We start from the raw sequence: 16992 nt of genomic DNA, 5'->3' as shown, positions 1-16992 counted from the left end.
ATGGTAATATTTTTGTCGCAGTTCACCACAGGGGCATGTTTGAAGGGTCTTCTCGTCCCAGTGCCACTGCTCTCTAGCTCCAGGCCTGGGGCTTCCCCTAGCACTGCTGAGGAGCTGTCTGTGCAGCTCAGCCCCTGGAGGGCAGAGGAGAGGGGCTGAGAGTGCTTGGAGGTTCAAGAGGAGGATAAAAGGATAAGGATAGAATTACAAGCAGTGCCTGAAAATGCCCAGCCTACAGAATCTGAAAAGGAAATTTATAATTAATTAGGTGAATGTAGTATTAAAAGATGCAAACGGCATCTTGGAGGACTTACAGTCATACAGAGGAGATGACCATGAAATACAAGAGGTAATCCAGCAGCCAGCAGATGAGAAGTTGCAAGAGAAGGCATGGGGTGCATTTGTTCCACTGGGAGGCAAATTAAAGAAATTTTATGAATTGTCTCAGCGGTTAGAAGCAGCATTAAAAGGTCTTCAGGGAGCCTTGACAAGTACGCCATATTCTCCCACCCAGCATCTAGTGCAAGAACAGGCTTCTGCTAAAGAGTTTTCAGAAGTTCTTCATTTCACACTCTGGTTTGATGAACTCAGGATGACAAATCCTGCTATACAGAATGATTTCAGCTATTATAGAAGAACATTGAGTTGTATAAGGATTAATAATGTACCATCAGGCCAGGCGTAGTGGCTCATGCCTATAATCCTAGCACTTTGGGAGGCTAAGGCAGGCAGATCTCTTTGAGCTCAGGAGTTCGAGACCAGCCTGGCCAACATGGTGAAACCCTGTCTCCACAAAAAATACAAAAAATAGCCAGGCAGGGTGGTGCACGCCTGTGGTCCCAGCTACTCAGGAGGCTGAGGCTGGAGGATTGCTTGAGCCCTAAGTGGAGGTTGCAGTGAGTCAAGATCGTGCCACTGCACTCCAGCCTGGGCAATAGAGCAAGACTCTGTCTCAAAGAAAAAAAAAAAAATATATATATATATATAAAATAAGCAACCTAATGAGGCATCTTAAAGAACTAGAAAAGCAAGAGCAAACCAAACCCAAAATCCCTAGACACAAACCAAGTGCAAAATTAGTAGAAGAAAATAAATAATAAAGATCAGAGCAGAAATAAATGAAATGGAAAGAAACAAAACAAAACAAAAAAAAACAGTGAAATGAAAAGTTGATTTTTTTTTTTTTGAGACAGAGTCTTGCTCTGTCAACCAGGTTGGAGTGCAATGGTGTGATCTCAGCTCACTGCAACCTCTGCCTCCTGGGTTCAAGCAATTCTTCTGTCTCAGCCTCCTGAGTAGCTAGGATTACAGGCACGCACCACCACGCTCAGCTAATTTTTGTATTTTTTTTAGTAGAGACAAGATTTCACCATGTTGGCCAGGCTGGTCTTGAACTCCTGACCTTGTGATCTGCTCGCCTTGGACTCCCAAAGTGCTAGGATTGCAGGCATGAGCCACCGTGCCCAGCCAGAAAAGTTGTCTTTTTTTTTTTAAAGATAAACAAAATTTACAAACCTCTAGCCAGATTAAGAAAAAAAGAGAAGACCTGAATAAAAAAACTCAGAGATGAAAAATGAGACATTACAACTGATGCTGCAGAAATTCAAAAGATCATTAGAGGCTAGTATGAGCAACTATATGTCAATAAATTGGACAATCAAGAATACATGGATAAGTTCCTAGACACATACAACCTATCAAGATTGAACCATGAAGAAATCCAAAACCTGAACAGACCAATAACAAGGGATGAGATTGAAGCCATAATAAAAAGTCTTCCAGTAAAGAAACTTTTGAGTTAATGCTGGAATGAGTTAAGACTTTGGGGACTGTTGGGAAGGCATAATTGGTTTTGAAATATGAGAAGGACATGAGATTTGGGAGGGGTTAAGAGCAGAATGATATGGTTTGGCTCTGTATTGCCACCCAAATCCCTTGTTGAATTGTGATCCCAAGTGTTGGAGGTGGGTCCTGATGGGAAGTGATTAGATCATCGGGGGTGGTTTCTAATGGTTTAACACCATCCTCCTAGTGCTGTCTTGTGAGTGAATTCTCATGAGATTTTGTTGTTTAAAAGTGTGTAGCACTTCCCCCTTCACACTCTCTCTGTCTTACCATCATTTGAAGACATGCTTACTTCCTCTTTGCCTTATGCCATGATTGTTAAGTTTCCTGAGGCCTCCCAGCCATGCTTCCTGTACAACCTGTGGAACTTTGAGCCTATTTAAACCTCTTTTCTTCATAAATTACCCAGTTTCAGGTAGTTCTTTATAGTAATTTGAGAATGGACTAATACAGTAGGTATCATAAGACTCTATGATTAAGTATATTCAGTGGGAGCATTTGCCAAAACTTCCAAACTTGGTATGAAAGGTTGTACCAAGTTCTTTTTTTTAAAGCCCAATCTGGTGGACAAAGGTAACATATCTTCCTGATTTTTTATTTATTTTATTTTTTGAGATAGGGTCTTGCTCTGTTGCCCAGGCTGGAGTGCAGTGGCATGATCACGGCTCACTGAAGCCTTGACTTCCCAGGCTTAAGTGATTCTCCCACCTTAGCATTCTGAGTAGATGGGACTAGGCATACACCACTATGCCTGGCTACTTTAAAAAATTTTTTATAGAGATGGGCTATGTTTCCTAGGCTGGTCTCCAACTCCTGAGGTCAAGCAGTCCTCCTGCCTTGGCCTCCCATGGTTCTGGGATTATAGACATGAGCTACCACAACTGGCCTGTATCAGAGTTCTTAAGGACCAACCTCCTAATAGTGTAAAATATCTTCTAAATGCTCTCCGGTACACAATAAAACATTTGAATGATCAGACTAACTCCAAGCAAATTAAATCCATGATGCAATAACAGTTCGGGAATAAGCACCTGTTGTAGACAGAAGACAGTATTCTGCACTGACTGAGAATACAGTTTTTTAGTGATTGCAATTACCATGACATTTTTCTTGCTTTTATGTCTTCCTCTGTTCCTCTTCTCTCCTTTAAGATCATGTTCTTATTCCTAAGACTTCTTCTCTATACCCAAATTAGTAAAGTTATACTCTAAAGAGATATTGTCCTTTCAAACAGGTAACCTACAGCAGCTAATTATTGGGGTCTCTACTGAGAAAAATTCTGTGACTTTTATCTAAATATTTTCAAATGTGAATTTTGGGGAAACTAATATTTATTTGCTTCTCCTACATGGCAAAACTGCCAATTCTGCTATTTGAAAACCCCCAATGACTTTATTTTCTACTATCACTTTTTTCATGTGCTGCCACAAAATGAAAATGTTTAAATATGTTGTACAAATGGTAGCCAACACAAACTTTTTTGTAGTTTTTAAGAGTTTAAAGTTTTAATTTTACATTTTGACCTTTTTTGTAAGGGTGTATGTTATGTGTTTCACCTTTGTTAACATTAAAAACTGTGATGTGTGCATAGAATATTACTTTCTAGGGCTAAATCTCTGATTTCCTGAAGCTTATGTCTTTTTCTTTCTTGATTTACTCCCTCGTCTTGCTATAATACACCTTTGAATAGCTTCCTTAAGAATGGGTGTATGAGAGGTAAAATTTTTTAATTATCTGAAAAGTTTATTTTTTACTCATTTTTATTTATTTTATTATTTTTTAAGGACAAGTATGATAGTATGAAAAGCTTATCTTTTAAAGTCATGCATGATTTACAGTTTGATTGGTTATAGAATTCTGGGTTCAGAATTCAGAATTTTGTATTAATTGTTTCATATTCCTCTGGCATCCAGTATTGCTACTGAAAAGTATGATGCCATTGATGATCTTCATCTGACATATGTAATCATTTTTACTTTTCTTTCTTATTTTTTTTTTGTTTCATTTTGTTTTGAGACAGTTTCACCCTGCCTCCCTGGCTGGAGTGCAGTGGCATGATCTTGGCTCACTGCTGCAACCTCTGCCTCCTGGGCTTAAGCACTTCCTGTGCCTCAGCCTCCCGAGTAGCTGGGATTACAGGCATGTGCCACATACCCGGCTAATTTTTGTACTTTTAATAGAGACAGGGTTTCGCCATGTTGACTAGGCTGGTCTCGAACTCTTGGCCTCAAGTGATCTGTCCGCCTTGGCCTCCTGAAGTGCTGTGATTACAAGCATGAGCCACTGTGCCCAGCCATTTTTCTTTTTTTCTTTTTCTTCTTTCTGTCCGAATGGTTTTAGGGTCCTGTCTTTATCTCTGGTGCTCCAAAATTTTACAGATGTGCCTTGAATTATGTGCCTTCATTCATTTTTCTGGGCATTCAGTTGATGCTTTTATTCTGTAAACATATTTCTTTCATCCTGAGAACTTTTATTGTTTTATTTCTTAGATAATTTTGTCCCCTCCCATTTTATCTTTCTATTGTTCTAGAATCCCTCTGATAGACATTGGATTTTTTGAAATAATGCTCTAATGTCTAAGAATCTTTTCTCATTAGTTAAGAGAAGGCTTAAATGCATGTGATAGAAAACCCAAAATAATATACAGGTTTAAAGTGCAGGGGTGTCTGGTAATGGCAGCTATAGAATTAACAGGGACTAAGACACCTTCGACACCTTCTTCTCTTTTTTTTTTACTCTGTTCTTTTTTTTTTTTTTTTTTTTTTTGAGATGGAGTCTTATTCTGTCACCCAGGCTGGAGTGCAGTGGCATGATCTCAGCTCACTGCAACCTCTGCCTCCCAGGTTCAAGCAATTCTCCCTGCCTCAGCCTCCCAAGTAGCTGGGATTACAGGCACCCACCGCCATACCCCACTAATTTTTGTGTTTTTAGTAGAGATGGGTTTTCACCATGTTGGCCAGGCTGGTCTTGAACTCCTGACCTCAGGTGATCTGCCTGCCTCAGCCTCCCAAAGTGCTGGGATTACAGGTGTGAGTCACCACGCCCGGTCTACTCTGTTATTCTTTGTACATAGATGGCATCTGTTCTCAAGTTTGCCTCATGGCCCTGAATAGCTGCTGGAGTTTTAGCCCTCATCTCCACATTCTGGATAGCAAGAAAGAAGAAAGGATGAAGGTCAAAAGGGAGTACTCTATTTCCTGTCTCCTTCTCCTCCTCCTCCTCCTCCTCCTCCCGCACCTCCTTCTCCACCACCTTCTCCTCCTCCTCCTTCTCTACTTCATCTTCCTCCTCTTCCTTCTCTTCCTCGTCCTCCTCCTTCTCTACTTCATCCTCCTCCTCCTCTTCCTCCTCTTTCCTCTTTCTTCTTCCTTTTTCCTCCTCTTCCTCTCTTCTCCTTCTCCTCCTTCTTCTTCTTCCTCTTCTTCCTCTTCCTCTTTTTTTGAGACAGGGTCTCACTCTGTTTCCCAGGCTGGAGTGCAGTGGCACGATGTTGGCTCACTGCAGCCTTGACTTCCTGGGCTTAAGTGATCCTCCCACCTCAGCCTGCCTGGTAGCTGGGACTACAGGCATGTGCTGCCATACCTGTCTAATTTTTGTGGTCTTTTTTGTAGAGATGGTTCTGGTATGTTGCCCAGGCTGTTCTCCTTTTAAGGAATTTTCCAAGAAGTCCCACTTAACAGTTTTCCCTGAATCTCATTGGTCATAATTTTGTTACACCTGGCTGAAAAGAAAGCTGCACATGTAGTCTTTCAGCTGAGCATATTTCTACCCTGAATAAAATCTGGGTCCTGCTGCTAACGAAGCTTAGGCAACTAATTGTTTCTGCCGTTTTCTTTTTGTTCTACTGAGTTTCAACTTTGTATTCTAAGTCTTCTATTAATTTTTTTATTTTAGCTATGAAAATTTTAATTCCTAAGACTTTTACTTGAAATGTTGTTATTGTTTTCATTAAAATCTGATTATTGGTTAAGGGGTGGAATAATTTTTATGTCTCCAAGTAGGCTTGGAGTAGGACAGACCTAGTTTTTAATGCTAACTCTGCCATTTACTGGCTATATGACCTTGAGCTTAAGCTTTCAATATTGAAAAATGAGAATTAACTCTGTGTTAATCAAATCTGTATTTTTTGTATTATAAAAAGTCTTTGTGAATATTAGAATAAACTTGGAGAAAACAGCAAAATAAAACATGTAAGGAATTATCCAAAACACTTTTAACAGTTTGCTGTTTGCTTTAGTTTTTCATATTGATCATATTGACCAATATATTTCCTATCCAGATTACAGGCTTTTAAAATTAACCCATAAAATAGGAGATTAGTTAAGAGTGCTGGGCACATAGTAGACCCTGAGTTATAAATATATTGGAAGATTAAGTGATGCCCCTAACAACTTTTACCTTGAATTGGTTTCTACTTACATAATAACAGAATATGCCAGGCACGGTGGCTCGTGCCTGTAGCCCCAGCTACTCTGGTGGCTGAGGTGGGAGTTTCCCTTGAGCCCCAGAGTTCAAGGCTTTCATGAGCTGTGATCATGCCACTGCACCCTGGGCAACAGACACCCTGTCTAAATAACAGAATATACTAATATATCTATATATTCAGGCTATTGTGCTCAATGGCATCTGTTTTTATGATGGCTAACTCAGGCTGAGATCATAGAACATATGCTAATATGAACAGATTTTACTTTTTGTTTTAAATACTAGTGACCTACTTTTACAATTTTTGTTAGAATACATATCTGTTTTTTCTTATATGTATGCAAAAGCAAAGTTTGGACAAGAAACTAGCAATAGTGATTTGAGTCTGGAGGGAGGATTAGGAAGAGACATAGTGGATGGAGTGGAAGGACGCTCGCTACACTGTGTATGTAAAAAAACATTTTTGGTTTTTGAACCATATGACTATTCAAACATTAAATGAACTTTATATTATATATATATATTTGGTGTATTTTTTCTTATACAATTATTTTAAATTGTATACTTTAAAGACATGAGATACTTGAAGAGAAATACAGAAAAGCATTAAGAAGATATAAAAGTTACCTATTATCTCATACCCCAGGGATAACTACTGTTAACATTTGACACATTTCTTCCAGTCATTTATACATTATAAAGTTGTACTTACATGTATTTGTGAAATTGGAATATACTATGTAATGTTACATATTCTGCTTTCCCCCACCTACTTATTGATTATATTATTTGAATCACATCTCATGTAATTGAGAGTATGATTTATTTAACTATATTCTCAATGATTATTCTCTATGATTGAATATTTAGAGGTTGTTTCCATTTTTTTGCTATTATAAATAACTTTGAGATAAATTACATGACACATAAACCTTTATGCACTTCTCTGATCATCTCTTTGGGATAAAATTTCCAGGAGAGAAATAACTGGGTCAGAAGCTGTGACCATTTGACAGGTTCTTGTTAGCTACTGATATGTTGAAAGATATTTTTCTTTGTGATAAGTTAATATATACAATTTTTCCCCCAAGGAACATATGCAGGATAAACATATTATCAAAGCTGTAGAACAGCAGCAGCAAGAGGAAGAAGATGAAAAGATGAGAAAATTCATCAAAGCAAAAAAGCGTCTTATACAAATGGGGAAAGAAAAAGAGGCTGAAACACACAGGTAGGCTTTAATAATGTGTATAATAAAGTACTATCTGAAATTATTATGATTTTATGATTATTATGACAGTAGTCTTTAGGAACAGAGATCTTATTTTATATATGACTAGAGCATTCAGTGACTTGATTTCAGTTTGGGACGTGGGTGTGAGGACATCATCTTGTAGATGGTCAGAAATGCTGATCTGCCATCCCAGAGGAAGTATGAGCTGAAGATGGCTTTGTGAGTCATTGGTATATAAGTGGTAGTTGGAGTTGTCGATACAGATGAGCTCACCTAGGGTGAGTAGGTAAGAAATGAAGGTGGCATAGTCCCTAGGGAACTCCATTTAAAAGTCAAATGGAAAAAGAAGATAACACGAAGACCAATAAATAGTTTCCAGAGATTGGAGGAAAACCAGGGAAACATCAGAGAGAAGACTCTCAGTAAGAAGGGAGCAGTCATCAGTATTAGGTCGTAATGGGATTAAGTACAATTTTTAAAATGAAGTATTCATCAGATTTAGAGGACATTGCTTATATTAGTGAGCAGTTTGGTATGGGGTGTAGAGGTAAGAGTAGGAGGCCAGATTGCAGTACAGGGGGTTTCTGTCTAAATCATGCTTTCCCCTTGTGCAAAATCCTCTGATGGCTTCACATCTCACTTAGTCTTTACAATGGCCCATAAGGCTCTCCACCTACCCAAATTTCCATCTTCCCAGCTCATCCCTCCCAGCCTTATCCCTCAGACCTCTTCTCTTACTATTCCCTCCTCTCCCTCTTCTCACCTGCACTGGACTGGCCTCTGCCTGCTCTAAGGAATGCTCACCTCCAGAGAGCACGTAACTTGCTTTCTTAACTCTTTCAGATCTGTACTTAAATATTACCTTCTCATTGAGGCTTTCTCTGACTACTTTATTTAAAATTATACCCCCTCCCCAATTGCTTATCACTTTACCTGCTTTCCTCGCCCTCGTTGCTTGATATATAGCACTATATATATATACATACATATATATACACACATACATATATATATATATATATATATATATATATATATATATTTTTTTTTTTTTTTTTTTTTTTTTTTTTTTGAGACGGAGTCTTGCTCTGTCGCCCAGGCTGGAGTGCAGTGGCGCGATCTCGGCTTACTGCAAGCTCCACCTCCCGGGTTCACGCCATTCTCCTGCCTCAGCCTCCCAAGTAGTTGGGACTACAGGAGCCCGCCACCAGGCCCGGCTAGTTTTTTTTTTGTAATTTTTAGTAGAGACGGGGTTTCACCGTGTTAGCCAGGATGGTCTCGATCTCCTGACCTCGTGATCCGCCCGCCTCGGCCTCCCAAAGTGCTGGGATTACAGGCGTGAGCCACTGCGCCCGGCTATTTTTTAAAACTATTTATTTTGTTTACTGTCCCTCTCCTCCAGCAATCATGAAAGCCCCATGAGGGCAGAGATTTTTATTTTTATTAAAACTTTTTTTTAGAGATGAGGTCTTGCTATGTTGCCCAGGGTGGAGGACAATGACCATTCACAGGCGTGATCACAGTGCCCTGTAGCCTCAACCTCATAGCCTCAAGGGATCCTTCTATCTTAGCCTCTTGAGTAGTTGGGACTAAAGGTGCGCACCACCATGCCCAACTTCTAATGTTTTTGTTCACTGTTATGTCTGTCCCCAGCACCGGGAATAGTGTCAGGAGCATAGTAAGCAATCAATAAAACTGTTTAAAATACTATTTTTTGGAATTCTACCAGAAATGTCACCTTTTCTCTGAAGGCTTTCTTTTTTTCTCATTTGTCCATATCATTTTCTAGCTTTCTCATGGCATTTATTATCTTTTGTCTTCTATAACTATAAAGACATTTGCATAAATGTCTTTTCTCCACTTTAAATTGTAATTTCCTTGGAGTATGCACTGTATCCTTTCTCATCATTTCTCACATGCTGCTTTGCCAATTCACTAAGTGAATTTGTCACAACAAAATTATTTTTTATGCAATTTCATAAATAAAAATGCCCTAATTTAACAAGATGTATTCTTATGATGTACCAGGCACATGCTTAGGCTCTTAACTAGAGAGAGGACCCATTCAATTTCTGACCTGAGGAATCTCATAGTGAATTTGAGAGGCCAAAGTAGGAGGATTGCTTGAGGCCAGGAGTTTGAGACCAGCCTGGCCAGCATAGCAAAATCCTGTCTCTTAAAAAAAAAAAAAAAAAAGGAACCTTATAGTGTAAAGGGAGAAATTTAAACAGATCAAGTTAAAAAAGTGCTGTGAATAAATTCCAGACAGAGTATTGTGAGGGGATGGATATTTAGGATTTTGATAACTTTTATTAGATTATTTCCTTGATTTTATTTAAATAAAGGCCTTTTATAGCCTCAGCCTCCAATGATAGAGTAAGCAGGGTAGTCTGATAAAATATTGAAATATTTTCTGTGGCCAGGTGCAGTGGCTCACACCTGTAATCCCAGCATTTTGGGAGGCTGAGGCGGGCGGATCACTTGAGGTCAAGAGTTCAAGACCAGCCTGGGTACATGGTGAAACTCCCTCTCTACTAAAAATAAAAAAACTAGCTGGGCTGAGGCAGGAGAATCGCTTGAACCCAGGAGGTGGAGGTTGCAGTGAGCCAAGATTGTGCCACTGCACTCCAGCCTGGGTGACAGTGAGACTCAGTCTCAAAAAAAATTTTTTTTCTTTTTTTTTAATAGAGTCTCACTCTGTCACTCAGGCTGGAGTACAGTGGTACATAGCTCACTGCCACCTTGAACCCCTGGGCTCAAGCAGTCCTCCTGCCTCAGCCTCCTGAGTAGCTGGGACTACAGGTCCGTGCCACTGCGCTTGGCTAAATTTTTTTTTTTTTTTTTTCAGACAGAGTCTTGCTCTGTCGCCCAGGCTGGAGTGCAGTGGTGTGATCTCGGCTGACTGCAACCTACGCCTCCTAGGTTCAAGCGATTCTCATGCCTCAGCCTCCTGAGTAGCTGGGATTACAGGCGCCTGCCACCACGCCCGGCTAATTTTTGTATTTTTAGTGGAGACAGGGTTTCACCATGTTGGTCAGGCTAGTCTCGAACTCCTGACCTCGTGATGTGCTCGCCTCAGCCTCCCAAAGTGCTGGGATTACAGGTATGAGCCACCACGCCCAGCTTAAAAAATTTGTGGAGATGGGGTCTTGCCATCTTGCCCAGGCTGGTCTCTTAACTCCTGGGCTCAAGCGATCCTACCACCTCAGCCTCCCAAAGTGTTGGGATTACAGGCATGAGCTACCACACCTGGCCTAAAATATTTTTCAGTGTAGATAATTTTAAGATCTTATTTCTTAAACACACACACACACACACACACACACACACACACACAGATTATACATATTACTGTCTTTGGATTTTAGAATATATGTTACTTTATAGTTAAAAAATAATGTCCACTTAAAATAATATATGTAAGGAGCAATGGGGCTCCTGTTAGTTTTGTAAGAGACTGCAAAATATCTCAGATTCCCTAATTAAATTATGTTGGCTCCATTGGACATGTGTTCATGAAGATTTGACGAGTATGGTTATTTTGTTATAGGCTTATGGAGAAACGAAGAGAAAGAATACATAACTTCCTGAGTGAACTGTTGAAAGAGAAACTTGACAATGAAGATATGATTATTGCTAGAGATATTGCAGAAGCTGAGGCTGAATGGGAAAAAAGAGAAAGAGAAAAAGATGAAAAAAACAAAGCAGAATTAAAAACAATTGCAGAATATCGAGCCATTGTGGTAAACAATTCAATTATGAAAATAAAAATAGAAAGACAGAGTTAGGACCTTTCCACTGTGTTTTCCATCTCATCTGCCTCTCTAACCAAAAACTAGCCAAGATATTAAAAACAATGTATGAATTATCTTCCTGTATTTTTGAAATTGGACAATGTTTACTTCCTAACAAAGATGACACGACAGTTACAAAAAAGATATTTATAGATGCAAAGTAATAATCTCTTCTGTTTCAGAACCATCTGAAACGCAAAGGTTATTTGTTATACTTTTCATTTGTAGGTTTTAAAGACAAACCATGTAAAAATTATACATTTCTGTTTCTTAATATTTTAAAACATATCTTACATGACTGTCATAACATTTAATTTGGATAGTTTATACACATTGGAGCAATTTTTTTTTTTTTGAGACAGAGTTTTGCCCAGGCTAGAGTGCAGTGGTGCGATCTCAGCTCACCTCAACCTTCGCCTCCTGGGTTCAAGCAATTCTCCTGCCTCAGTCTCCAGAGTAGCTGAGATTACAGGCATGCGCCACCATGACTGGCTAATTTTGTATTTTTAGTAGAGACAGCGTTTCTCCATGTTGGTCAGGCTGGTCTCGAACTCCTGACCTCCCGAGGTGATCCGCCCACCTCGGCCTCCCAAAGTGCTGAGATTACAGGTGTTGAGCCACCAAGTATGGCTGGAGCAATTAATTTTTTACTTACATATATTTCCCTTCCTTGAGAAGATCTTGCTTTTCATCTTTTTCAAGCCAATAAGGATTGTCCTATAGCACTTGGGTATTTTCTGATATTCAGGAAATAGAACAAAACCAAAGTAAACTGGCCGCATGGGAACCACCCCAGGTGCATGCACTTTTCTGCTCCTGCATTGCTCCTGGCTGACTCTCCTCTGCTTCAACTCTCTGACTCTGTGCCTTTTCAGACAAGACTGGTTGCTATAACTGGTTTTATATGTTTCCTTTGCCTTTAAACATCTAGATGAAAAATAAAGAGGAAGAAGAAAGACAAAGAAAAATAGAGGCTAAAGAACAATTGCTGGCTGTCATGAAAGCAGATCAGATTTTCTGGGAACATGAAAAGGAGAAAAAATGCAAAGCTGATAAAGAACATCAAGAGGTTCAAGATGCCCATATTCAGCAAATGGTAATTACTCCTGAATGTTTATAATTATGTTAGTAATAAGTATATAATACAGAATTCATGCTAGTTTTCTACTCCCAAGCAGTTTCATCAGGTAAGAAAAAAATGGTCATTATGGTTATGACACAATAAAATGTATTAAAAATGTGAGGTTTGTTTCTATCTCCAGTGAAGTTCCCATGTGAGTTTTATCTTTTAAATGAATGTTTATCCTTCTTTAGTGTCTATTATACTTCAGTAAATATTAAAGAAAATACAAATGCATGTGGAGGCCATAATGTTCATCTTGTTTTACTTTTTTCCCATATCTCAGAGACTATGTTGATTGCGATCTCATAGGTTTCAGATTTGAGGAATGGAGATATCAGATTTTAAAAGATGTGTAGAGGACCTAGCATCCAATCATTTGTAACTAAAACCTGTTTTTGAAATGGTTGTACCATTTTCCATTCCTACCAGCAATGTATGCAAGCACAACTTACTCCACATACTCATCAACACTTGATAGTCATCCCTTAATTTTAACTATTCTAGTATAGTGATATCTTATGGCTTTATTTTACATTTCTCTAATGACCAAAGATAATGGACATTTTTTTCACATCCTTGCTAGCCATCTGCATACCTTCTTTTGTGAAGTGTCTATTTAAGAGTGTTGCCAATTTTTAATTGGGTTGTTTTCTTAGTGCTGAGTTTTTTAAAATTGATTTTTATTGTGGTAAAATATACATAACATAAAAAGTACCATTTTAAGCATGGTTAAGTGTACAGTTCAGAGGCATTGAGTACATTCACATTGATCATGGCCACTATACATCTCCAGGGTTTTTCATCATCCTGTACTAAAACTCTGTACATGTTAAACAGTAACTCCCTATCCCCTCTTTTCTCCAGTCTGAGTAACCTCTGTTTTACTATCTCAATGGATTTGATTATTCTAGGTACCTCATAAATGGAATCAGACAATATTTGTCCTTTTCTGTTTGGTTTTCACTTTTTTTTTTTTTTTTTTTTTTTTTTTTGAGACAGAGTTTTGCTCTGTTGCCCAGGCTGGAGTGCAGTGGCATGATACCCACTCTCGGCTCAGTGCAACCTCTGCCTCCAGGGTTCAAGCAATTCTCCTGCCTCAGCCTCCCAAGTAGCTGGGATTACAGGTGCCCACCACCACGCTGGGCTAATTTTTGTATTTTTAGTAGAGATGGGGTTTCACCATGTTGTCCAGGCTGGTCTCGAACTCCTGACCTGAAGTGCCCACCTTGGCTTCGGCCTCCCAAAGTGCTACGACTACGCATGAGCCACTGTGCCCGGCCTCCATTTTTGAATTGGATTTTTTGTTGTTGGGTTTTAGAAGTTTTAAAAATACTCTGTGTATTAAATCTCTTATCAGATACATGATTTGGAAATGTCTTCTTCCATCCCATGAGTTACCTTTTTACTCCATTGATAGTATCTTTGATGTATAAAAGTTTTAAATTTTTGGCCAGGTGCCAAAATAGTTTGTTGTTTCAATCACGATCAAATAAGATCAGTATTTGGAATCCTTCTGATTTACTTGTTGAAGTCTTTAAGAAGTTTTCTTGATCAAATACTTGGTTCCTCTTAGGTACAATTTTTAAAGAAAAAAACAGAATACTTGATTTTTTTTGCCTTATTTTCCAGTTTTCAGACAGTTAATTAGCTATTATCTTCCAAATGTACTTCGAAGGTACTTTACCTTCATCTGTTAGCGTTTTTTAGGATTTTAAACTTAATTTTTTGGAACTTTTTCTTTATATATTTATGCTTAATGCATATCAAATGTGAGGTACCAATCATATGTTCCATTATAGTAATTCTTTCCTTCCATTGTCACTTCCTTTCTGTGCTTCAAGTGGTTCTTTCTGTTCCCTCAATATTTTTCTACATTTACTAAACATATCCAAATTGCTGCTTATTAAGTTCCCAAATATTAGCATTTTACCTTCGATTAGAGATCGATTTTAGCTTTTTTTTGACTTTTTCTCCAATCTTATTGTCATTTTCTACTTTTTAAAACTCTGGCATTTTATCCCCAATTTCACAAATAGTATGTAAACTGAATTTTGAATTGTAGCACTCAATAATGAAAAATTTGATATTTCACACTAATATGGTTGCTCTATTCCATCAAAAATTTAAATTTATGATAGATATCAGGTTTGGGTTACTATTTTATGCCAACATTTTGGATTTTGAGAAATATTTTTATGAATATTAAATATATTCCTAAGTAGTCAAAGTAACTGTTATTTTAAAAAATAAACTCAACATTTCTTAAAATGCCACAGAGAATACAAAATGAGAAGTTGCCAACCAGAGCATCACAGAAAAGCCATAAAAAGAATCTCATCCAATGTAAATTAATATAAAGAATTAAACGACAAAATTTGTATAAAATATTGGTAAATTGGCTTTTGGCAAATTGCCTACTTATTCCACTCAGTGCCTTCTCAACCTACATTGATAAATGTCACTCACTGTTCCAATTTTAAATTTTCGGGAAATAGATAATGTAAATGGTTTTAGTCCAGATATTCACTGCTGATTTAATCTTATGTGGCTGGGGACATAGTATATTGGGCTGACCCAGCACAGTAGAGTTGAGTGAATTCCTCCAGAATAGTGGATGGTTAGAGACAATGGTGGGTGTGCATTCTAAACCACCAAAGTTCACATCTTGTGATTGAAACAGGACTCTAAACTCAGTTACCTGAGTTTTATCTAAATTTCATAATTTTCGCTATTTCACTGTGCTATTTGCAAATGTATCACATAAGGCTATTAATAAAGGTTTCATTGCACCACCACTTTGAGCATGATAGGAAAGATTCTGAAATAAATGATAGTATATAGTTGTTAAATCAGAACTTGTAAAGTATCAATGAGTTTAGAAAATTATACCTACATTTTCAAATGCTATGTATATTTAGAAAGTTCATGTTCTTAACCAATATTAAGTTAAATTTCCTTTCTTTCCCAAATAGGCCAAAAATAAGTTTAATGCAAAGCAAGCAAAACAAGCAGAATTAGATTATTGCAGACTTACTGAAGCTCTTGTGGCTGAAAAGGAGAAAGAATTTCAGGACTATGCCAGAGAGGTAATTGAACTTGAATCGGAAACAACAAATAAATATATTTACCCTCTTGTAAAAGCTGTACAGGAAGGACCTGGAGGTGGCCGTGGACCAGTGTTTGTGGACAGAGGTGGATTAAGACCCAGCTATCAGGCAAATGATGTTACTGGAGTCCAGCTCCCTTTTTATAACTCTCAGGGACCAAAATATAATTTTCAAAAGTCAAAGAGAAGGCTAGGTTTTACATGGTAGAAAAAAATTATTTTTAACATTGAGAAGACTAAGTTGTAGCATATATGAGCTTCAAATATAAATGGATTTCAGTTAATAAAGCTGTTCTTCATCTAAGTACAATTATGTCTGATTTAATTGATTGTTCTCAGTATTTCTTTTGGGTATATATAAAACCCCAATTTTGAGATTCCTTTTTTTAACTGTGGTAAAATACACAAGTTTACTTTTTAAATGTACATTCAGTGGTATTAAGTACATTCAAAATATTGTGTAGCCATGACCATTGTGTAGTTCCAGAATTTTTCAGTGCTCTTACTAGAAACCCCATACCCATTCATTAAGCAGTCACTCCCCATTCCCCTTCCCCACAGCTCCTGGTAACTTTATCTGCTTTGCCTATACTGGGTATTTTGAATAAACAGAATCATACTGTGGCCTTGTGTCTGGCTTATTTCACTTAGCATATTTTCAAGGTTCATTCATGTTGTGCCATTTATCAGTGCCTCATTTTGGTTTATGGCTGAATAATATTCTCCTTGATATATTTCTCTTCAGCAGAAATTCATATGCTTATTTGCTTTGTCCTTCAGCAGTTAGTATCAGATAACATTACCAGCATTATTACACTAACAATAGGATTATTGAATGAAGACTTCTTTGTGGTTTATTTTATAGAGTATATCTTACTAGACATGTACACATTATCATGTTTTGAGGTCACTTAAAATAATTCTACATGTAGTTTTGCCAACTTTAGACAACAAAACTTGTTTCCAAAGAGACAAAGCAGATTAGCAGTTACCAGGGGCTGTGGGGAAGGGGAATGGGGAGTGACTGCTTCATGAGTAGGGGGTTTCCAGGTGGAGCACCAAAAACTTCTGGAACTAGATAATGGTCATGACTACACGATACTGTGAATGTACTTAGTACCACTGAATTTTGTGTGATTTTGTGAACTGCATTCCCCCACTGTTTAATTTTTTTTTTCATTTCTTAGGTAAAAAACACAGAACACCTAATTTAATGTCTTAACCATTTCTAAGTATATCGTTCAATAGTGTTAAGTATCTTCATATTGCTGAACAATCTGCAGAATTTTTTCATCTTGCACAATTGAAACTCTGTATAAAACAACTAGTCTCCATTTCCCCCTCCCCTCAGCTACTGGGAAACACCATTCTGTTTCTGTGAATTTTGACCACTACAGTATAGGTCCTTTTGTGACTATTTCATTTAGTGTACGGTCCTCAAGGTTCATCCATGTTGTAGTTTATG

General features: G+C 37.9%; 1 protein-coding gene and 1 pseudogene across 4 annotated transcripts in view, besides 1 other annotated feature; both read left to right on the top strand.

Annotated features, from left to right (window-relative positions):
* CFAP210 (cilia and flagella associated protein 210) overlaps positions 1-16151 on the top strand; it is a 48981-nt gene extending 32830 nt beyond the window's left edge. For all 4 annotated transcript variants that reach the window (XM_047443327.1, XM_011510590.2, NM_001085447.2 and 1 more), the window contains 4 exons: positions 7362-7501; positions 11055-11247; positions 12230-12394; positions 15394-16151. In XM_047443327.1, the coding sequence (XP_047299283.1) occupies positions 7362-7501; positions 11055-11247; positions 12230-12394; positions 15394-15735 (840 nt within the window). In that variant the 3' untranslated portion in view covers positions 15736-16151. The remainder of the gene's footprint in view (positions 1-7361; positions 7502-11054; positions 11248-12229; positions 12395-15393) is intronic.
* On the top strand, positions 26-3052 carry LOC100421474 (CYFIP related Rac1 interactor B pseudogene; annotated as a pseudogene).
* Positions 13731-13931: a silencer, noted in NCBI's record as "peak3919 fragment used in MPRA reporter construct". NCBI's record gives its function as "represses an SCP1 promoter by STARR-seq MPRAs in K562 erythroleukemia cells {active_cell/tissue: K562}" and the evidence as "EXISTENCE:reporter gene assay evidence [ECO:0000049][PMID:32103011]".
* Positions 16152-16992: the final 841 nt, after the last annotated feature.

This window comes from Homo sapiens, chromosome 2 (assembly GCF_000001405.40).
Source record: "Homo sapiens chromosome 2, GRCh38.p14 Primary Assembly".
Taxonomy (NCBI): domain Eukaryota; kingdom Metazoa; phylum Chordata; class Mammalia; order Primates; family Hominidae; genus Homo; species Homo sapiens.
Note: the sequence above shows the minus strand (reverse complement) of the source record. Positions and strands in the feature narration are given on the sequence as shown.